At 40.1% G+C, this 24,006-nt stretch overlaps 1 long non-coding RNA gene across 1 annotated transcript in view, besides 1 other annotated feature; it reads right to left on the bottom strand.

Moving 5' to 3' along the window:
- Window positions 1–24,006, bottom strand: part of NALCN-AS1 (NALCN antisense RNA 1) — a 350,962-nt gene that overhangs the window by 158,572 nt on the left and 168,384 nt on the right. The window lies entirely within an intron of this gene.
- Window positions 19,126–19,420: an enhancer, noted in NCBI's record as "tiled region #9290; K562 Activating non-DNase unmatched - State 24:Quies, and HepG2 Activating non-DNase unmatched - State 24:Quies". NCBI's record gives its function as "activates a minimal TATA promoter and a strong SV40 promoter by Sharpr-MPRA in K562 cells, with weak activation in HepG2 cells {active_cell/tissue: HepG2 | K562}" and the evidence as "EXISTENCE:reporter gene assay evidence [ECO:0000049][PMID:27701403]".

Genomic DNA, 24,006 nt, shown 5'->3' with positions numbered 1-24,006 from the left:
AACTGTTTTACAAATCTACAACTATTTTGAAATTTGTTAAAATTGAAAGAAATAACAAAATGACTTGGGATATATTTAGAATATAAAGAATATACTTTAGGCAGAGAAGAAATAACACTAGATTAAATATCTGAGATGGAAGAAATAATCATGAAGAAAATATAGATAAATATAAACAAACATCAATTGTATTCAATAAAATATCTAATATATATGAGAATAGAATAGACGATAAAAATGTAGACGGTCATAACATGTGACTTAAAAGAGTTTAAAAGAAGTTAAAGTATTCTAACATCTTTAATTACTACAGAATACAGTGAGCATGTGATAAACTTTAGACTTTGATAAGTTGAGTAAGCACATTAAAATAGTTACTGTGAGCACTAAGAGAATAGACATAGAGCATCATAATCCTATCAGTTCTTCAACATTTATTCAGAATCTGACCATTTGTCTTCACCTCTTCTGCCACCTACTCAGGTCCAAGACATTGGATTCTCTCACCTGGGTGAGTGTTGCAACCTCCTAACTGGTCTCCCTGCTTTTTTTACTCTACCCTTATTGAGTCTACTGTCAACACAGAAACTAGAGTGGTCCTGTCAGAACGGAAGCTAGATCTTGGTGTTTCTCTGCTCCAAGTCCTGCAATGACTTCACTTTTCATTCAAAGTAAAAGCCAAAATTATCACAATGATTTGCAAGATCCTGCATTAACTGGCTTCTACTTACTGCGATAACCTTGTATCCTACCGCGTTTTCTCACCTACCCTCCATTCCACACCCTCAGGCCTCTAACGTCTAACATTGAAGACCCACTCTCACCTCAGCCTTCACACTTCTGTCTGCCCAGAATGCTCTTCTCCATGGCATCTGCATGAGTCATTCCTTGGTTTACTTATATATGAAACATTCCCTGACTACCCTATTTAAAATGAAACCCCTTCATCAGAATTCACTATCCCTCTTCCTTGGTTGATTTTTCTTTGTCACCAATGAACTTACCACATAGTTTAGAGAAACTTTGTTCTCTAAGATCATAGACTATCAAAAGCTTTGCCGTTTGAAATTAAATCAATATGAGACATTCTGCTCTTGACTGAGGATCTAAGTCACTTTGACGCAGAGCAGCATTCTTGATTCACAACTCAGCTACAGAGCACCAGATAAAGGATTTCTGGACTCAGCCTTCCATGTCTATCTTAACTTTGTAGATTCCAAGGAAATAGGACCTTGGGTTACCTGATGCTGCTTTGAGCCTAAACTCCATCCTTCCCCCAAATCCTATAATACTTCTATCTTTTCCTTTGTTTGGTGAGACATCTTATGATTCTCAGCATGTGGTTTTCCTCATTGCAATGGGCCAGTAAATCTGATTTTGTCAGACTAGAGGTCACACAGAGAAAATTCTAAAGTACTGGTTCACAGGGGTTCATTTTATTGTTATTCTTTATACATAGATATTTTATTGCACTCTGACATTGAGGTATATTGGTTATATCAGTAAACTATGTTATCTTTAATTACTAAGACAAGTCAAAATTAAAACGAGCATCTCTCTAAATTAGGTTTTCAATTACATTACGACATATCAAGATTTCCTAATGATTTCCTATTTCATTCTTAATTCATGGAATGTCTGACACTCCCAAAGAGCAGTGCCTTCTTCCTTTGCTGACATAATCTGACTGCGAGTGGCCAAATCACACTGTTCGGTTCAGCTGCAAGGATGACAATATCCTCAAGTGGGTGGTTTCTCTCCTCCTGAAGCAGGTGATGAGGCTGTGGGAACTTGGCCCCATCACCTCATTCCTTCCATCATATCCTTGCCAGATGTTTCTGCCAGATTGATAAGGCTTCCATGCCTCTTTGTGTCTCATATTTCTTTAGTAGTGATTATACCAACCTGTCTACTTTCTGGAAAAAAAAATTCCTATAATTAAGAGCCCAGACATTGTGTACTTATTAGACACGATGGTGTCTCAAAGACAAATTAGGCACATTAAGTGTTTTTCCTGTGACTAGTTTATTGAGCCTGTGTGAGCACTAGTGACAACACAACAGGGCCATCTTTTAAATGAATCACTGATTTGCTGAACATCTGTTGAGTTTAGTCAGAATTAATCATTTGATGTCCTAGTATATGTCCTATATTTTGTAATCTTTCTTCATGTTCTCCTCAGAACTTGATGACATGTTTCAATAAGTAAATTTCAAGGGTTTTTTCTCCCATAAAATAAAAAAGCTATTTTCCTTCCAGGAAGAATTATAAATTTGACTAAGTTTTTTAACATTTGGATTCTTTATGAAAATCTTCCATGGTTTCCTGCTCTCTAGCTGGAGTTATTTAGAAACCCTACTAAAAATCCTATTTAGAAAGTGATATTATATATCTTTGTTCTTTTCAGTAGTAATTATTGGTATGGCAATAATAATAATGATGTGTAAATACACTTGCTATGAATTTCCTATGTGCCAGCTAGCTTGCATACCTTCATTGTCTCATTTAATCTTTTAAAAATCCTGCAGATTTAGTATCCTTATCCACATCTAAGGGTAAGGAAATGGTAGCTAAGAGAGGCTGGGTGACTTGCTAAGGGCACAAAGCTGGGTCAGTATTTAGACCCAAGTCTGTCTGATCCAAAGTTTACCTACATTCCAATATACTCAGCCTCCTGCACTGATGGTGCAGTTAATTAAGAGGGTAATTAACTGATAGCTAAGACTTGGCCTCCCTATGTAGAAACAAGACTCCATTTTCATTTTTTATTTTTACCAGTCATTAGGACATTCCCAAACATGAGCATGCTAGGACTTCTGAATTATGAGTTAGAAAGGCAAGGAAACCAGGATTGAGCTGATGGAGAGTGAACAACCACCACCCTGGTACAAGGAAGACAATTCTTTTCCAGTGTTCAGTATCTAATACAGAGGATAAAGGGGGAAGATAAACAGATAGGCTTCAGTCAAGGAAATCCAAAAGGACCACTGTGATGGCTAATTTTATGTCCACCTGGCTGGGCCTGGCTGCCCAAAGATGTGGTCAAACATTATTCTGGATGTTTCTGTGAGGGTGATTTTTGGGGAGACTAACATTTTAATCAGTGGACTAAGCAAAGCAGATTGCCCTCCATAATGTGAGTAGGCCTCATCCTGAAGGCTTAAAAAGAGCAAAAAGCTGACCTACTCCAAGTAAAAGAGAATTCTCCCGCCCAATAGCCTTCAGACTTGAAGTGCAACATCAGCTCTTCCCAGGTCTTCAGCCTGGCAGTCCACTGGACAAGCTTTTGACTTGCCAGACTCCAGGATCACATGAGCCAACTCATCATAAATCTCTCTCTCTCTCTTTCTCTCTCCCTTATTGGTTCTGTTTTCCTGGAGAATCTTAACAAAAACAGCCACTTTGGGTTTAGTTAGCATCTCCAGGGCAGCAGCACACAATGCTTCAAGTCAGATGGCAGCACAGGGGCTCTCAGGGCCTCACAGCAGCTGAAGGGCATGGGAGGTAAGAAGCAACCCTGTAGGGGCACCAATAAGAAGCTGAGGAATTAACAGGGTAAGTGAAGGATCCTGGTGTTGTGAATGGATCTGGCCAGCAAGAAGCTCTCAAGGGGCTATGACTCCAGCTGGTGCACTGAGGCTGCTGCTCACTTCCTCTGGTCAGAACTGGTTCAGGAAGTAGGCAGGACTAAAGCCACAGGTAAAAGACACACACAACTTGAGCCTGAAAGGTGAGGAAGGCCAGCAATTGACCTTTGGTGGGGGTGGATGGGGCAATTCTTTTGTTGTTTAACATCTTGGAGGAGAAAAGTTTTTGAAACCTAGTGCATCAAGAAAACACCTCAAACCTCAAAAGGGAATGGGCTAAGACTTGAGAAGACTTTCACCTCCTCTCTCCCAAGCATAGGAAGTAACAAAGACCTCTTCCAACCCAATCCCAAGCCTCTGCATTCTACAGAGCTGGTTTCAGGAGACTATTACATCAATTCCAAAGCAAGCAATCACTTTCAGAATTATTTTTCATCCGCAGAAATGTCCATGAAGTAAAAGTCTCCGTCAACTCCCACAATCTTTCCCAACTCCACCTGCCACCCTCCAAACACTTCAGATCTATTAATGAAAATAATTTTTCTAATTTTGATGTGATATAAATTCTAAGTCTGGGAACAAAAATACAAATATTATCATGTTGTAAATATTAATACTTCAAAAGACCATCTGGAGGATGCTCCCTTGAATGCTCTGAAAATCACAATTACTGATAACTGCATTGTGCATAATTACCACATTTTATGAATAATCTTTTATTTATCCATCACATCATGGGGGTCAGTTTAATTATTGTTTCCTCTTAACAGAAAAGAAAAACTGTCTCCAGAGGTAATGACTGACTTGCCCAAGTTCATGCAACCAGGAAGGTCAAGGCTGGGTGTATAAGTCCCAGTTCTCTGACTCTACAGCTTATACTGTGTCCCTTCCCACCACACTACACTACCTCTACACTTCAAGAATCTCTCTTCCAAAGAAATAGAGGTCAGGTTACCATGTCCACTGCAAGCCTACTCTTCAAGATATGGCTCTTTGCTTGGCATTAAGCCACCGCCACCACCCTCCAACTTTGGTACAACTGAACAAACTTGTTTTTGAAGGTCCTTCAAGAAAAGACTAATAAAGCCCTATGGCTTAGTTAAGACCTAAACATGATGTGTAAGCTATCAGAATTTCTGTTCAGGCTCAAAAAGAAGCATACTTTATTTCAATAGTGGCACATTCACTCATAGATCACACTCCTCTGGTCTGGTGTGTCATTCCTTTTTAATTTCCATGTAAATCACAATGTCACAAACCACAAAAGCTGTGAAATTCTGAGCCTGCCATGGAAATATGACTCCTAACGTATGTCAAGGGAAATTGGCCAAATCCAGCAGGACTTCTTCAGGGGAAGCTTTGCATTTTTCAGCCCACTGTTTTCACCTCCATATCTGCAATGAACACAACGGTGTGGGGTAATGGTTACTTTTACTTGTGTTCATTAGAGATGCAACATTTATCTATCTGCATAATTTGGGTGTAAAAGAAATTATTCTATTCAAGATTCTCTCTTCAAGAGTTTCTTTCCATCACGTGTGACAAATTGCAAAATTTGTCATTTTTGCCTCGATGACACCATAAAATCTATTGTCTTTTTTCATGGTTTCCATCTTTCCTTCCTACTTTATAAATAAGATAGACTTTTTAAAGGAATATTAACAATCATATCAGTAGCATAATTTGTAATTTAATACCTTTGGATAAGGAAAATGGCTAAGATAGGGACATGAAGATATTTCCCTTCCCATTAAGGTGGTTGGGCCCAGGGTGAGAGAAAGAGATCACTGGTTTATAAAATATACAGTCAGATTCAACCTCAGAAGTCCCAGGAAATTTTAGGACCTACTCACCAATGAAAATCAAATGGTTCAAAGACCTACTCTTGATGGCAGCTGAAAGTAGTTTGTCCTCAATGCACATTCAAGATTACAGCTACCCATATTTCAGTTATGAAGGATTAAGTACATGATGCTTTTGCCTTATCAAGGGTAGTTCTGGCACCAGACATGGACCTTAGCCTGAAAAGCAACCCCACAGCTTTCAGTGATCGATTGCCAAAAGGTATTCATTACAAGATAAGGACTTAGATCTCTTCCATGAATGCTCAGGGTAAATTGTCATTTCTTCAATAAGGTAATTTGAGAGATCAGATTACAAAAAGATCTGTTTCCATCTTGAGTGCCCTCTCTTGCTCTCATTTGCTTATTCTGAGGGAAGCCAGCTGCCATATGGAGAAGTCTATGTGGCAGGAAACTGAGGGAGCTCTTCAGTCAAGAACAAGCAAGAAACAGGCCTCCATTCACCAGCTAAAAGAAATTGAGTCGACCAACAATCCCATGAATGAGCTTGGAAGCAAGTTTAACCTTCAGTCAGGCCCACAGATGAGAACACACTCCCAGCTGCCACCCAGACTGCAGCTCTTGGGGAGAAGCAGAGACACCCAGCTAAGCTGCATCCAAATTCCTGACCCACAGATATTGTGAGACAATAAATGTTTGTTGTTTTAAAGCACTAAATCTTAGGGTAACTTTCTATGCAACAATAGATTACTGATACACACATCCTTGTCTTGTCCCATACCAGACACAGGCATCTCACATACCAGCCCTGACCTAATTCCAGCTCTCGGGCTAGAATGGGGGCTAGTAAACCTTGACAAGCAGTCCCAGTACTACACAGTCCTTCAAAAAGACTGAAGATGGGCCAGGCACAGTGGCTCACACCTGTAATCCCAGCACTTTGGGAGGCCAAGACAGGTGGATCACTTGAGCCCAAGAGTTCAAGACCAGCCTGGGAAACATGGTGAAACCTCATCTCTACACACACACACACACACACACACACACACACACAAATAAAAAATAAAAAGACTGAAGATGACCAAGGAAGCGTCCATTGCACAGAAGACTACTGACTGCATCCCACATCCTACCCCCATTTCTTATAGACTCAAGCCTCCAGGGCCAGTGGAACCTTATAGCAAGTATCTGAACCTCTTAGGGTTCTCTTCATCCCTATGTTACTCTTATAAAGAATCAGATCTCAAAGCCACCTTCTCTGTTCTTCTTAGCATTTCTAAGGCAGATGGATAGGTAATTATCTTGCAAGATGAATCCACAGAGTTTCAGAGTCAATTCCCAGCAGTTTTTTTTTTTTAATGTATTTTCATGAAGTTGAGAAGCTTGTACATTTCTAAGATACTGTGGTAAATATAAAACCAAGTAAAGATACCATTGTTTCCATTCAGGAATTCATGCTCTTTAAAAAATAAACCCAAAGTTATACATGACAAGGAGCAAAGCATGAACTGCAAAGACAACTCCCCAGGAAGAGCGTAAGTCAGAAGGTGTAGGTGTTTACACGACGTGGAACTTTAGTGTTGGTGGGTTTCATGCTGCAGACCAGACTGACTTCTATGAACATTACATCTTATCCTCCTACAAGAACAATTCGCCAATCGTATAAAAGTGTTCGTGCATCCATTAATGCATTATTCTGTCTGAAAAGCCCGACTACAACAAAGGGAAAAGCTGAAATCTCATCTCACCCTGAACTCAGCCTACTTAGTTAGAGATGAGAAAACAGAACTTTCTTTATGCCAGTGCAAGGGGGAGAGCTTTTTATACTCGTATGTAAGAGCAGAATTACAAAGAAGCAGAATAAGAGTTTCTTTTTGGGAAATGATGTCTTTTACCTAATGATCACAATTCTAAATACTAGCTCAGGTTCCATATCCCAAGCAAGGCCCAGACACAAAGTCATTGAGAGTCATTGAGAGTCATTGAGAGTCAACAAGAGTGAGAAGATAGCTACTCTAAAAATGCTATAAAACAAGAGTTTTCCTCCATTTGCACTGCATTCTCCTGGGATAACTAAGGCAGCTTTGTCCTCAGCAAAGAATGGTGACAACTATGTGACCTTTATCAGACACAACGTGCTTGTGTTTTATGAGAACACAAAGGGTGACTAAGCAAGTTGGGTGACCCTCAGCCCTAACTCCTTCTAGAACTCATGTCCAGTTGGCAGAGCAAGGCTGAGACACCGCCATGAAGTTGCTTGTCCATTTCTAAAGCATATACAGGTAAACTACCTATCTCAACCAACATTTTGCAGGATCTGAGATTGAACAAAGGCAGTGGTAGAACAAAATCCAAGGCTCAGATATTCCAAAGTTCCAACCTTAAGAAAATGAAAGGAAAGAAGCCAACTTGAAACCTTAGTCCCCTGAGAGCCTGACACTGCAATATCCCACTCAATTTCTATGTCTGGAAAGGTTGGCAGGGCCAACAAAGAGGGTCTTTGGTGTTCCATAATGTGTAGCCCTCTCCCCCAACTAAAGCTTGCTGTTCCTCTTGGTCTATTCATTACCTCTGTATTCTCTACTTGCCCATCTCAAACACATTCACCCACCACACACACACACACACACACACACACACACACACACACACACTCTCACACACAAGCCCCAAAGCCTGTTACAGACCCTTGGCTCTCTCAACTCTAACCCAACCAAAAGTAAATGTGCCCTCACCATAGCTAACTACACAAAAGCGTCAGTGTGTCAGCCTTCATGTCTTACTTACACAAGGCATCTTGAAGCATAGGGATCACTGCCTTCAATTCCCAACCACCCAATCATTTTACAATTTTCATTCAATTAATCTGTAATATTTCTTCAAGCCAGGAGAAAGCAGTGACCTAAATAGTCAATAAAATGAAAATATCATCTTTTTAGTATTTACTTATCCATAATACACATATTTGCAATTACATATTTTTTGCAGTTATGCATTTATTTATTTGCACACTGAATGCACAGGCAGCCATGTTCCTCACTGTGTGAACTTCACCTTTCCAAGATCAGTGTCTTCATCTGTGAAGCTCTTATGAGGACTAAATGAAACAATGCACATGAAATGCTGGCCACTTCCTGGCACATGCAAAGTGCTTAGAAAGTGACAAAGCACTGATGACTTCAGAAGTCCTTGACTTTGATAGAACATGGATATAAACAGCAATGACACTAAGATAATAATCTCTCGGGATGCTGGAAATATCAATCTTTGTAGTTTACAAGCAGCTCGATATCAAGAGAATCACCAGTCATCATGGATTGAAGGAAACTTGAATAAATTATGAATGGTTCTGTTAACAGACTCATATGTTAAATATGATACTTTTGAGAATGAATTGATGCTACAGAGTAAATGAATCTTTACAATTTTTCCAAAGAGTGTGGAAAATTGAGAGATAACCTTTAATTGCAAAACTATTTAGGTCCTACACCTCTAGCATCTAAACCAGCCACTGTGCCTTATTGGATCATGGCTCATGGTTTATTGGATGAAGCCAGATTTCCAGATTTCTTTTTAGCTTCCTCAATCAAAACTGGAGGATTCTTTCACCTATCAAAGGAGAAGTTCTGGCTGAAGGCTTTTTCCTTACTTTATGGATTTTCTGACACTGCTCTCTTTTTACCACTCCACACAGTGCAATCCAGCAAACCAGAAAATCAAAAAACATGAGTAAATGTGACAGGAAAAGGAAATGTCAGGGCACAAATATTCTTCTGGTAAAAGCACCAATGGTCAGGGGACAGTGTTCTGGTGTTCTTCACATTTTTTTTTGTTTGTTTGTTTTTGGTTGTTGTTTCGTTTTGTCTTTGAGAGAGAGAGAGTTTCGCTCTTGTTGCCCAGGCTGGAGTGCAGTGGCGTGATCTTGGCTCACTGCAACCTCTGCCTCCTGGGTTCAGGCGATTCTCCTGCCTCCGGCTCCTGAGCCGCTGGGACTACAGGGATGCACCACCATGCCTGGCTAATATTTTATTTTTAGTAGAGACAGGGTTTTGCCATGTTGGTCAGGCTGGTCTCAAACTTCTGACCTCAGGTGATCCTCCTGCTTCAGCCTCCCAAAGTGCTGGGATTACAGGCGTGGACCACCATGCCCGGACTTCACCTTGTCTTGAATGTGCTCACTTACATCCGCCAAAGAGGGAAGTACCTTAATGCAGTCTGTAATCACACCAATATTTCTGGGTTAAGGTTGTTCAAGCTAATTGACCCAAGCTCTTCCCAATCTTCTGGTCCCTGGAGAAGTATGGATAACGGGGAAGTCAGACAGACAGTTTCCAGTGAAAATTTAGACTCGAAGAAATTACCTATTTGACCTTCCCCTTAATACTCCCTTTTTGTCCGCTGTAAAGCTCTCCCACTCCCCTGCCTACCTTTGAGTCTCTGCCAAATGCAAGTGATGGTGGCTGACTCCTTAATCCAGGGAGATTGGGTATCAGGTTACAGAGCAGGGTGGATGGAAGTGACTTTGTAGTACAATGCACTTGAATGAATTATTGCAGGATGCTCAAATGGGAAAGACTGAAGCAAAAAGAACCCTCAAAACTCACCAGGGATGTGCTGTGATAAACCCTACCCTGAGTCCCCTCAAAGCCTTTTATATCCTTGGATGATGAGGAAAAGAAAAGACAGGGAAAGCCTGCTATCCCCTAAGGAGGAGGCAGGGATGTGAAAGACAAGGGGGCACTGTTCCAAAGGGTTAATCTGGCCTGGCCACTGCTTGGCCAACAGTGCAGCAATAATAGGCATTGATGCCATGAGGAGCTAAAGTGAAAAACTTCCACAAAGGGTGTGAGGTGGGGCAGGAGTATTGAACACAGCCCTTCTGTAACTGTGAGTACAGGATTGGGCATGCTGTCTACAGCCTGAGAGATAGTGGGCCATGTGGGATGGAACTTAGCAGAGAGCATAGGACTAGAAATCCATCAGTTTCAATGCCTGAGCTCTGAGGGGTGCCTTCTGTTTTGCAACCACACTTCCAGGCTGGTGAACCCTAGAGAAACAAAGGTTCAGTTATTATTCCTTCCAAGAGCACACACCCAGATGTGGCCTTGTATGGGAGGAGCTAAGCATGGCATGTGGACGCTTTAATTTGACCTCTATGTACATGCAATGCCACATCTCAGATGTGATTCTGATTTCATTCCTCTAGGGCTGTGAGTCTCAATCAGAGGTCAGCACCAGAATCAACCAAGGAGCTTTTCCAGTCTGCAGGTATCCACTTCCCACCCCAGACCTATAGGAGCAGAAACTCTGGGGGTTAAGCCCAGTAATCTGGGTTTAACAAGCCCTCCAGTGATTCTGGAGTTCATTAAAGTTTGAGAACCACTGCCTTAAAGAAATAGTTTAAACCTGAGAGACATTCAATAGGACCAATGTCCGGGTCTCACCCCGCAAGAGTACAGCCTACCTAATAGGAGTTTTATAAACTATCCAGATGTTTTTAATATGCAATCCAGGTTGAGAACCTCTGCCTTTAAAAGTCTACATAAATGGATTCCTCATTTATGAACCCCTTGAAACAGTGTGCAAAATTGGGTGTATATGTATATGTGTATTTTTCTGGGAGAGAATCCATAACTTTTATCAAATTCTCAAATGGGTCCGTTATTCCAAAAATGGTTAATAATATGAACACTTAAGAGAGAGCATGCATTTTCTCTTATTTATTTTGTAACTGGGACACTTCATGAAGAAAGTGGTTCAAATATTAATGTGTGCCAAAGATGCTAAATAAATATGAATTAACCTTTTTCAATCAAGTACAAGATGGTTTCATATGTCTTAGAGTAGATAGGGGTAAAGGAAGGATAGCTGTTATTCCATACTGGTCTCTGTCATTGTCATCATTAAAATTTATTCCCTATCCTAGAGACAAGCTACCATATTGCATACAATTTTTCTCATTTGATATACATACAACCCTGTGAGCTATGCTAGGCAGGTAATACAATCCTATTCTTAGATGAAAGGTGAAGTGACTTTCTCAGGGTCACACAAGTCTTAGTAAAATAATAATTTAAATGAAGATCTCCATTAATGTTTGGTCTTAACTACGGGAGACTAATACAACATGGAGAATGGCTAGACCATCTAAAAAACAGAACTCTGACTTGCAAATGCAGCAGCCTGCCCAGTAAACCAACCCTTTATCTATAATAAACAACAAAGGAAGCCAGCCTACTCAAGCTAGACTTGCGGGAAGCCAGACTGCTATCTCTAGTAACAATCCAGCAGGCTAAACAATCACTTCTTCAACAACAACAAAAAAAACAAAATGTTGAGGATTTGATTAATGAATGGCAGTTTCTCTAATTTTTGTCACCACTTCCAGCTTAGGACCAGAAAGAAAGCCAAATATGCCCCCAACCCCTTACATAGACTTTTCCGGTCTGCAGGTATCCACTTCCCACCTCAGACCTATAGGAGCAGAAACTCTAGGGGTTGACCCCAGTAATCTGGGTTGTTGGCTGTAATCTGGGAAGTTGGCTGCAGCCAGCTTCCCTATGTCAACAGCCTTCAATCAGGACACACTTGAAGCTGTCCCTTTTTGCCCACTGTAAAGCTCTCCCACTCCCCTGCCTACCTTTGAGTCTCTGCCAAATGCAAGTGATGGTGGCTGACTCTCTTGCTACATCAAACTCTGAATAAATCACCTCTGCTTTTCTTATTTGAGTTGTCTGTTTATTTCCACAACTAACTTTATGGGCTCACCCTTCCTGGTTTCAAAAGCAAGGAACACCACTACTTATTGCTAAATACTACATATACCTTCATACAGATACACTGATGGGATGATGCCTTTTCAAGTTAGCCCAGGGTAGAGTTTTTCCCAGAGAAATATCTATAGACTCTACCAATATGTGAGTCAAAGCAAAAGATAGATCCATGGAATAGATTCTCATCCCAACATGGCTTCCAGACTGAGGATTCAACTGGATCTGGGATGAATATCTTAAGTGACACCTTCTTCCCCCAGCCCAGGTCATATTTAATTCTGATCTTCACCTTTGGATCTAGCTCTAAAGCATGTATTGGTGATTTCTTAACTACGTATAGGGCTTTTTTTCTCTTTTTTATCTTTTCAAAGTATTATTGATGATCATATCCTCTTACGGAGTATGAGCTAGGTGGGGAAACTGATCTGCAGAGAGATTGCATGACTTGCTTGAGGTCACGTGACCATGGCCTCAGTCTCCCAACATGGCTCTGTGTTATCCCAAAACAGGATATACAGGACATTGCTGTCATCCCATTCAGGAATGCAGGACACTACTGTCATCACATTGCCAGCCCATATCTTGCTCATGGGGCCCTCCTGACCCCAAGGAAAGGCATTCTCTGCCTTCACTGCATGCTCACTTTGTCCCAAGGGAATCTGGAATGAGTTTCCTTCACAGCCTCTTAATGACACAGTGGGGTTGAGAAAGGACATTGCTGAGTCATTTCCAGCCAAAGGAAAGTATTATTTATAGCAATCTGCACAGACCAACCTTGGTAGTAACTGAAATGACTTCCTTCTGGCACAGGGTAAGTACCAGGCTAATTGTCACCTGTACCCTTTAAAACAGCTCATTAAGTATATATGGGCTGCTAATTGCCTCCCCTAAGTTTTCCTATCTCTCTACTCTGGACGTGATCAGGTTCTTTAGCCCCATGGGCTGCATTTATACAGCCTGAGAGGTTTGTTCTTCCAACGTAATTTAAATCTATATTATGCATTTTTGGCAAAGTTTGACTATGGGCGGAAAACTGAAAATTTTGCAGGACTTCCATCACACCAGTGCAGTCTCTATCTCTTTACCTTTTATTATTGGAACCTCCCTCTCTTTTTTCCTACCACTCAGCTTTTTGTGTTGCTTTCTTTCCCTTGTACATTACCCTCCACTGTATTCACCAAGTCTTTCATCTTTCCCATAAACCAGACTGATGTTGACAACTCATTTCTTGTCCTTGCGCTTCACACCAAAGTGTCTAGTTGAAATATATGGGCCATAGCACAGTGAAAATTGAGCATTGGCAAGAGATATTCCCTGATATTTACTATATTACTCAGGTGATTCCTAATTATGTATTGTCTTGCATTTTACCTTTTTATCCTCATATGATTTGTATGCCCGGAGAGACCATAAACCAAGACACTACCATATCTTCCATTTATATTAGCCCTGTTAGCCCTCACCGTATCAGTGCCCAAAGAATTTGGTTGAATCAATGTCTTTCTTATACAGCATGCCCAGATCCCAGTATTTAGAAAATAAACCTGCATTTATTGTTTTGAGGATTCAAATAAAATCTCTTGTCCCACATGTCAAGTTTCTCACTTTGCTTGTTCTCAGATAGAAGAGTAAATAGTAAGTTTAAATGTTCTCTCAGTTTAACTCTAATAATACATATCATTACAATTGCATCTTTGAAATTTGGAGTATACATAGATACATATACACACATATACTATGTGTGTATACTATACGTATACATATATTTGGAGTACACATATAAATACATACATGTTTATATACATATGTAAATATGTGGATATGTGTACTCCAAATTTAAATTAAACCTTCGCTTGAGATTTCAAGCATAGCTAAACGTTTGAAACTCCTGTTTCTACGTTTGTAGCACAAATGCTACAAAAATTACTCAGCAAGTAAGACTGCTCTTCTAAAAGAAGGAAATGATCATTGAAATGAGATTTTACCTTGGATGGATTAACGTTTGAGTTATTTAAAATATTCAAATAAAGTGTTAAATGGGAGCAACATGGAATATGTAGGACATCACATATGGAATAATATAATTTGTTCTATAACAAATACAAAAACACACATATGTATGCATATAGTATATAGATGTGTGGAAATTTACTTTTACTTTTCACTTGTTTTTCCTGAAATTTTACCATAATCATTAACCACATTTTACAGAAAAAAATACTGGCTAAGGCCAGTCATAGTAGCTCACGCCTGTAATCCCAGTACTTTGGGAGGCCGAGGCAGGTGGATCACAAGGTCAGGAGTTCAAGACCAGCCTGGCCAAGATGGTGAAACGCTGTCTCTACTAAAAATACAAAAATTAGCCAGGTGCAGTGGCAGGCGCCTGTAATCCCAGCTACTCGGGAGGCTGAGGCAGGAGAATCGCTTGAACTCGGAGGGCAGAGGTTGCAGTGAGCCGAGATTGCGCCACTGCACTCCAGCCTGGGCAACAGAGTGAGACTTCGTCTTAAAAAAAAAAAAAAAAAAAACTAGCTAAAAAATTACCAATCTCTTAACATAATTTTCAAGATGAACATTTTCCATATGTGCCCAATATGAAGTATCTCTAGATTGGCCTGACTACTTTTGCCTATTCTCCATGGGTCCTACTCCATTGAACATTGATCTAGACCAGGGTTGACAAGCTTTTTCTGGAAAGGCCTAGATGATAAATATTTTAAGCTTTGCAGACTAGTCTCTGTTGTAACTATACAACTCTGCTGTCGCAGTTTAGAAGCAGCTGCAGCCACATGTGGCTATTTAAATTTAAATGCAGTAAAACTAAATACAATTTAAAATTCAGTTCCTCGGTGGCACTAACTACATTCCAAGTGTCCAGTGACCACATGTGTCCAGCAGCCACCATTTCAGACAGCACAAAGAACATTTCCATCATCACAGAACAGCAAAACCTAACTCTCAAGATCTTCAGACTACGTTACAATTCTTCGGAAAAGAATGGGAAAAAAACATTTCATTCCCTAAGCTCCTAAATCCTAGTCATTTTTGACACTTATTCAATACGAATGATTTATAATAGCATCAAGGAGTGTGAAAGTTTCATATTTTGCACAAAATTTCCATGGCGTGATTTTAAACAACATTTTAATTTTCACCAGAGATGAGGTGTTAAAAAGCATGGTGGAAATTTTATTTGGAAGAGTTAAGAATGGAAAGCCAAAACTATCTATACAATAAAAATTATGGGGCTGGCCTCCAATTATTTTTTTAAACATCTTATAAAACTGAAATCCAAAATACAATCATTTTAAATACATCCAAAAATGATAAGGAAGGAAAAAAACAGGTAAGAGAGAAAGACATCAAGCAAAACTGTGTCTAGGGAATGTATCATTTAAAACTACCACCTGCTTTCAGCGGTATTTGAAAGGGACTTTGTCCAATTACTACTTCCCATGATATGGCCACACTTCTATCCTGAAGCTTGTTCTGGTTTCCTTAGAGCATAGGAGTCAAATATGGACACAAGATGGGACAGAGACACTTTCTTTTTAAAATCAAGCACTAGAAAGGTTGCCGAATGATGCAAAACTAAGCAGGATATGAAGAATAAAAGGAAGAACTTTAAGAGAAAAATCACACCATAGCATTTCTAACTTGTTATCGGATTTTCATAAGCTTTCATTTTCCCCATGCATTTCTTGGTGGTTTAGGTAGACACACTATTTATTGCCTACCTGCAATTCCCTCTGTATAGCGGGAGAATTCACATTCCAAGAAAACTAGTGGAAGAAAAAAAAAAAAAAAACCAATGGCCTAAGAGAAGCGGCTCACATTCATCTACTCACCAGCAGCCAGATGAGCTTTGTCTCTTCCACAGCCCATTTGAAAGTGGGTACAAGAGCAGCTGCCCCCAGCAGCAGCAATAAACATGTGTCCTCAAAAAGTTATGACTGTTGACTGCAGAAGAGAGGATGGAGAGTCTGAGAACAAGGCAGTTTGCTTATTGATTTTGAAGCCCACAGTGTGACAAGAGACCAGACAGAAATGTGTTCAGTTAAACTTGGCACAGACGGGGGCCGACAGCCACGTTTTAAACTGTATAATTTTATAATTAAAGATCGGGGTGGTCAAAATAAATAGAACAACATTAATCAAGTCTTTAAGATGCCACTGTACAAATCAGCCACTCTCATGTCAAAGAAACTTCGACAACTTTCAAAGGGCGTCATTTTGTGCAAACAACACACTATATTCTAATGTTTAATTAGCTCAGGTATCAAAAGGCAGATGTGGCTGCAATGGGAATCCCAACATTACCTATGGCAACGGCTGCCTGAGCACGATTGTGGTCACATTCTCTATGCGACAGTTCTCCCCAGTCCTCAGCAAGCCCTTTTTATTCTCCAACTCGGTTTTTCTTTATAAAAATGGTCAAAATGTGAGCCTCCTCACAAGAATTTGATGAAATTTTATGTGGCTTCTGGAGACACACTTTGAAGCTGAAGGCAGCGAATTTTATATGAACAAAGAAGAGTTGTGGTTTTTCAAGCAGTGTTTCTCAAACTTTAATGAGACATCCATCACCTCGGGATCCTGTGAAAATTCTTATTCAGGAGACCTGGGTAAAGTCTAAAATTCTGTGCTTCTAATCAGCTCCCAAATGATGGTGATCTGCTGGTCTACAGACCACACTTTGGATAGCAAAGCTAAGTAACACATTAATTCACCATGATCAAAGACTCCTCCTTAGACTTGGAATTGATAGAGGGTATTATTCTTTAAATGCAGAGTTCTAAAATATTAGAGTGACATAGGACCTAAGAGATTATCAAGAATAAACTCTTCCATTGTTATGAGCACTGAAGGGACACACTCACAGTTACACCACAGTGTGGCAGCAGCTTCTGGGTCTGGCTTCCTTTTGACAGCCATAATAACACATATGTCAAGCCCTACGCAGTAGAAAAGCATGTTCACTATGACAGAGAAGAAGGAATAGAGGGAAGGAAGAGAAGAGAGAGGGAGATGGCTTATTTCTCACATATCTGTATAACTGAATTCCGCAAAAAGCATGGTGCACGACATCAAGAATCATTCGGAAGAGTTGTAGGGCTAATGAGGTTCCAATAGAATTAATCAGTTCACAAAGACTTCACCATTCCTATCCAAACTTTTCCTTGTAATCAATACTATTACCTTCTGAAAAACCAGTTGAGATGGTACGGCTCCCATCCTGTCTTACTTCTCTCCACCAAAGCTTTTATATAGCACCTATTCTGTACCTAACATACCTTCGTGTATGGTATCACATTCAACTATTGCACAAATCTGTAAAGTGGATAGAATTATCCCTTTTTTAGATGAGAAAACTGAATTTGATAGTGATTAAGTACCAAGTATGCGGTAATACAGCTAGTAAGAGGCTCAGCTAAGATTCAGAGTCATGGCCCCCTATTGCAACCCTGAACTATTTCTTTGTTTTCAAGCCTGAAATCACACCAGGCCTATAGCTTAAGTCAACTTGTAATGAGTTTACAAATTTATTATGTTCCATTTGAAAGCTAGCTAGTACAAGTTATTTCTAAAAGAAACTACCTCTCCCACATTGCATCAGTTTTTAGATTAGGAATAGCTCAACTCCACCTTTTTTTTTTTTTTTTTTTTTTTTTGCCTTTAGTACCTCAGGAACAGAGATTTGAATTAATCTTATGTATTAGTCAGGGTTCTCTTAGGGGGACAGAACTAATAGGATATATATATACACATATATATAAAGGGGAGTTTATTAGGTATTAATTTACACGATCACAACGTCCTACAATAGGCTGTCTGCTAGCTGAGGAGCAAGGAGAGCAAGTCTGAGTCCCAAAACTGAAGAACCTGGAGTCCAGTGTTCGAGGGCAGGAAGCATCCAGCACGGGAGAAAGATGTAGGCTGGGAGGCTAGGTCCATCTCGTCTCTCCACGCTTTTCCGCCTGCTTTATATTCACTGGTGGCTGATTAGATGGTGCCCACCAGATTAAGGATGGGTCTGCCTCTCCCAGTCCACTGACTCAAATGTTAATCTCCTTTGGCAACACCCTCACAGACACACCCAGGATCAATATTGCACCCTTCAATCCAATCAAGCTGACACTCAGTATTAACCATCACATCATACCTCTGGATTTAGAACATATTACAATAATCATTTTGTACAAGGACCTACTCCTGTTTTCTTTTGTTTTTCCCCACAACCCTCATCCCTAACTCTCTCCTCTCCACAGATTTCCACTGTGATGTGTTGGATATGCATCTTTGAATAGTTGTACGGATACACACAAATTTTAATTTGCATGTATGACGCTGTTCTGTTTTTTTAAACAAATGCTCTCCAAAGGTGTTTCACTTACTACTGCAAATGCTCCCAGGAAGCAGTTTTAGGCATTTCAACTGGGCAGCATGTCCCTGAAGGGAAGCAGAGAAAGGCTGGCACTCAGGCATGGAGAAGAGTCTCAAGAAAAGGGCATTAATTTCCCTCTCTACCCAGTTATGCCTGGTCCTCAGTGTCCTCCCTGGGGGAAGGCTCATCCGAAGACCTCCTAGAGATGCTGAAAGTGTAGATGCAACCAATGGAAACCCAGAGATGGATACAGGGGAAAATTTTGTCCATAATCCAGGCATATAATTCAGGCATAAGAAATCATAACTGATTTATTTTAATCCATCTATTTCAATTTTTTTACACTTTTAATATTTTCAGCATGAGGGCCACTGATTATTTTACCTCTTTTCTCTTAAAGAAAAGTTAATTATAAAGACTCAGGCCATAATTTCCCAGGAAAGTGTCAGGATGATCTAAGACGAGTCCCAGGCCTTTACCATGAAGCAGACTCTCAGGGATATTGTGAAATCGACATATGAACAGTGTGTGCACATTCATTTCTCTATTGCTTCAAGGACATTCAAACCCAGGAAGGCAGGTGGGCTTCTGAGTTTTGATCTGTGCCAGTAGCTCTCACTCTTGAGCTGGCGTGAGAGCCCCCAGAGGGCTAGTTAAAGCTGGGCCCATCCCCAGAGCTGCTGACTCAGTAGGGCTGGGGCTAGGGCCCATCAGTCTGCATTTCTAACAAATTGCCATGCGGCACTGACGCAACTGATCCAGGGCTTTCACTGCAAGAACCGCTGCTCTACGCAATGTTAGGACCAGATGTTTCAAAAGATCAGAAAATGGATTGGGATTCTTAATTGACTCTTTCTGTTCAGACAGTATCTATACAATGTGTGATAATTTTTATTTTCTCCACATATGTCTTCTTGTTTCTTAAATCCTCGTGATCCTCTAGATATATATTTGGAGCACAATTTTCACTCAATGCCCCCAAAAAACCTGTTATGGTTTTCAAATACTCTGTATCTTCATTTTCTGTCTACTTGATCTGTCGGTTTCTAAGAGTATTAAAATCTCTCACTATGAATGTAGATTTTCAATTGTTTGCTTTATTTATATGTCAAAACTATGATGGGCACTGTAAATTGCTTTATGATTCTTTTATCTTCATGGTGTGTTTTTGATTAATATAAAACATCTTTTCTTTTTCCTTCTTAATGCTTTTACCCTTGAGTTACATTTTGTCATTTTAGCATTATTACTTCTGTTTTCTTTTTATTAATGTTTGCCTGGTTTGTATTTTTCTTTCTTTTTATTTTCAACCTTTCTGCATCATTTGGTTTTATATTTGCCTCCTGTAAACAGCTCATAACTGGATTTTTTATTCAATCTGAGAAAGCCGTGTTATTCGCATAGATTGTGATTCCTGACATGTTTTTCCTTTTTGCAATTCTGTTTTGGTTTTCTGTTTATTGTGCACCCTTTTTATTTTTTTCCCTGTTTCTTGTTACAAAGTTTTCTTTATTCCATTTTTCTCCTCTGATTACTTGGCTATTACCTCTATTACTTCTATTCTCTAAATAATTACCTTAAAATTTTTAACATGCATATTTAAACATATTTTCCAACACTGAAAATTATTTGTTCATTCAACAAATATTCAATGCCTGCACACCCTGTGTGAAGCATTGTCCTGGGAACAGGGGTTCCACAGAGTAGGAACAATAAGCTCATGGAATTTACATGCTGGTAGGAGAAGCAAGGCACTAAGGAAAGTAAAGCTCACCTGCAGATATTTGCAGAAGAGCCAGGAGGCAAATGTCTGGAGCCACTGAGCAAGATGGAATGTCATGGGAGATGACATCAGGGAAGTAAAGTATGTTGCCAGGGCCGTGTGGGTCAAAGTGAGAAGCTTAGCGTGTTGTTGTTGTTGTTGTTTTATTTTGTTTTTGTTTTTGAGACAGAGTCTCACTCTGTCGCCAGGCTGGAGTGCAGTGGTGCAATCTCAGCTCACTGCAACCTCTGACTCCCTGGTTCAAGCGATTCTCCTGCCTCAGCCTCCTGAGTAGCTGGGATTACAGCCACGTGCCACCACACCCAACTAATTTTTGTATTTTTAGTAGAGACGGGGTTTCGCCATGTTGGCCAGGCTGGTCTCGATCTTTTGTCCTTCTGATCTGCCCACCTCGGCCGTGCTGGGACAACAGGTGTGAGCCACTGCACCCAGCCGAGAAGCTTAGTTTTGCACTAGGTTGGGAATCACTGGAGGATTTTGATCGGGGAAAGAAGCAACCTGACCTGGGTTTAAGCAGGTTCAGTCTGGCTGTGGAGGTGAGAATCCAATGATAGAAAGCACCGGCAGAAGCAAAGGCTGTTAGAAAAATCCAGTCAAATCCAATGGTGGCTTGGATCAGAGTGGCTGCAAGGAGTGGGGAAGTGGCCACATTCTGCATATATTTTGGAGGTAGAGCCAAAAGTAAGGTTTGCTAAAAACCAGATTATTGGTGTTAGCGTAAGAGAGGAGATGAAGTTAACAGCAGGTGTTTAATCTGCAACACGGAGGACCAGATGTGCCATTCACGAGAGCAGAAACTGGTTCCTGCAGGACAGGGTGGGAAATGTGGGGGCCACGTGCAGGTCATGTTCAAATTTGAGATATCTACTACACATCCCAGTGAGACAGAGTGTGCAGTTATAGAGAAAGGACTGCAATCGATGGGAGGCAGAGTCCTCGACATAGGGATAATATTTAGACAGGAACTTTGATGAACTCTCCTGGGCAAGCAGACTAGATGGCAAAGAGAAGAGTTCCAAGAATTGAGTCTTGGGGCAGAGACCATGTAAGAGGCCAAGAAGAGGAAGAGAAACCAGGAAAAAAATTAAAAGAATGAGAGAGAAAAAAAGTGAGAATGATTGCAGGAAAATCAGCTGAGATGTGTTCAGGAAGCCAGGGACAAACAGTGTTTCCAGGAAAGAATGTCAATTTCTGTTGATAGGTCAAGTACAATGAGCTCGGAGATTAACCACTAGATTTTTCTAGGAACAGTTTCAATGGAGGCAAAAACCTGTTTGGAGTATTTTCTAGAGAGAAGGAGAGGAGAGGAATTGGTAGCAATTATAGATGATACTTTGAAAGAGTTTTGTTGCAAAGAAGAGATGCCCTTGGTAGCCTCAGTCAAGTCAGGTGAAATATTTTTTTTAAGATAGGAAAAATAATAACATGCCCGTATGTTATGGCACAGATTCATTTGAGAGGAAATAACTGATTTCTGCAGAAGAGAGAGGAAAGCATTGATGGAGAGCAGGTAGAATACATGGGGACATCCCTTTTTCCCCTTGGAATATATCTGCCAAAGTGACCAGACCACTTATCCTGTAGGGTTTCCTGAAGTCTGGTTGTTGCTCACTGCATTTTCATGGTATAGTTTGGAATGTTCTCAATGGTTTCTAAACACAATTTTGTAATAACAAAGCTTTTTCTTTAAATCAAATTTTAGCTGGAAGCACAGTAGAAAAGGCCTCAGAAGGTGCAGCTTGCGTGTTGGAGTGGGGCCAATTGGACAGTCCCAAAAGTGAGCCAGGGGCTCCACCACGGCTGTCTTGGGGCCTTGTATCTGAACAACTATGGAATGGATAATTAGTAGAGAAACACAGATTTCTGTTAAAAGGGAGCTTTTGAACACCTCCACTTGTTTATAGTATTGAGCCCAAATGAGACCAAAATCTCACTTCCTGAAATAGCTAGAATGCAGATTTTCCATTTAAAGCTATTGTCATGACAAGAGATTATCTTCCATAAGGTGAAAACCATAGGCAACCATGCTGTCTGGGATTTGTACAGCCCTTCGCATTTTGAGAGTTTTTCACAGACAGACATGACATCCCTAAATTCTAACTGCTAACCACCTGAGAAGGAAGCTGAGGCTCTAAAGGTCAAGGGAGGCCATTATCACACAGATAAGTGGGGTTCTCTCCATAGACTGTTTTCTTTGGGTATGGAGATAACAGTATTGACCAAAGACATCAATAGGGTTTGCACTCTTAAGTGGATTGGCCAGAAGTAGCAATGCCCAAGTGTTCAGATATTTGGTTTCTTTAATGATGAAGAAGACATGTTCTCCAAATGACTTTGCAGAGCCAGAGACACAAGCAGTGATTACTGAACTCAGCCAAATTAACTGGCCCTTGGGAAAGTCAGAACATGGCCTCTTCAGGGGGCCCTCACTAACTCAGCTCACCAGCCTGGGAAGCCTTTTAATTCAAGTAATATTAGAAAGGGGTGTTTTTCTCACTGGTTGTCCATTCCATGTGGTACACAGAACTATTTATTTATTTACTATGCATTTTGTATCGTGTTGTATCATGTATCATGTCATTCCCAGTTAGAGCATATCTTGGTTCTGCTGCAGCACAGCTTTGGGGTTTATTAGAAAAGTAATGAAACAGAGGAATCAACCATGTCAAAAAAGGAGAGACAATTTAACAGGAACATTTCTGTGTAGAAACAAAGACCTGTTTTTTTAGAACCGTGAGTTTCTTGCTGTCTTCTCCAGGCTTATGTAACTGCTAATTTGCAATCAGGACTTAAGTTATTTTCACACCCTCATATTAAAAAGCAGAGAATTCATAAATATTTACCAGATAATTGCATATGATACATAATTTCTTCTCTCCCCATAAATTATGAACACATTTGATACATCATGAGGAGGAAAAAAGTTTAGGAAGACAACAAACAAAAATGGCCATTAAAATGGCCGGTCCCACTTTGGTGGCCTGTCCAATTCTTTTTCCTCATAAAACCCCACTACGGAAAAAGAAAGATTCTCAAAATTCCTAAGGCAGTGGCTTAAATTAAACATCCACAGTCCAAGATGAAGCTGATTGATCCAGGTCACTTCCTAACTCAGGGTTCTCACACTTACAAAGTTTCCAATAATCAACCATTAACTACTGTAGTTCCCTGAAGTAAGCTTTTAAAGGGCCATAAAGCCACATTTTCTAGCTTCTCCTCTAACACAGAAATCTTCACATTGATTTTCCTCTTCTCATCGGTTCTAACCCCAATATCCCAAACTCATTTTTATTATCTTAAATAATCAAAATAATGTCCAATAAGAAATAATAGCCAGATAATAACTAAACTCTTAAGCTATAGAGGATGCATTGCTTGAATGCTACGGCATAAGAGATTAAAAAACGTACAGATTAAAAACCAATAACTCACCATTCCAATCTAGTTACAAACAGGTATTGTCTATCCCACACAGTGTTTCATAATTTTTAGTTGATTACTAACATTGACAAATTGGGAGATTTCCCATAAATCTGCTTTTATGGCTCAACCTCAAAATTTGGAAAATCTGGCAAAACTGGGTTCACTGATTATCTTGGGGTCTCCAAATTGCCACAGTTCCTCCCATTCTCTCCTGCCCTTACACTCACTCTGTTTCCCTTTGTAAGCATTTAAG

The sequence above is a fragment of the Homo sapiens genome, chromosome 13 (genome assembly GCF_000001405.40).
Source record: "Homo sapiens chromosome 13, GRCh38.p14 Primary Assembly".
Classification (NCBI taxonomy): Eukaryota; Metazoa; Chordata; class Mammalia; order Primates; family Hominidae; genus Homo; species Homo sapiens.
Note: the sequence above shows the minus strand (reverse complement) of the source record. Positions and strands in the feature narration are given on the sequence as shown.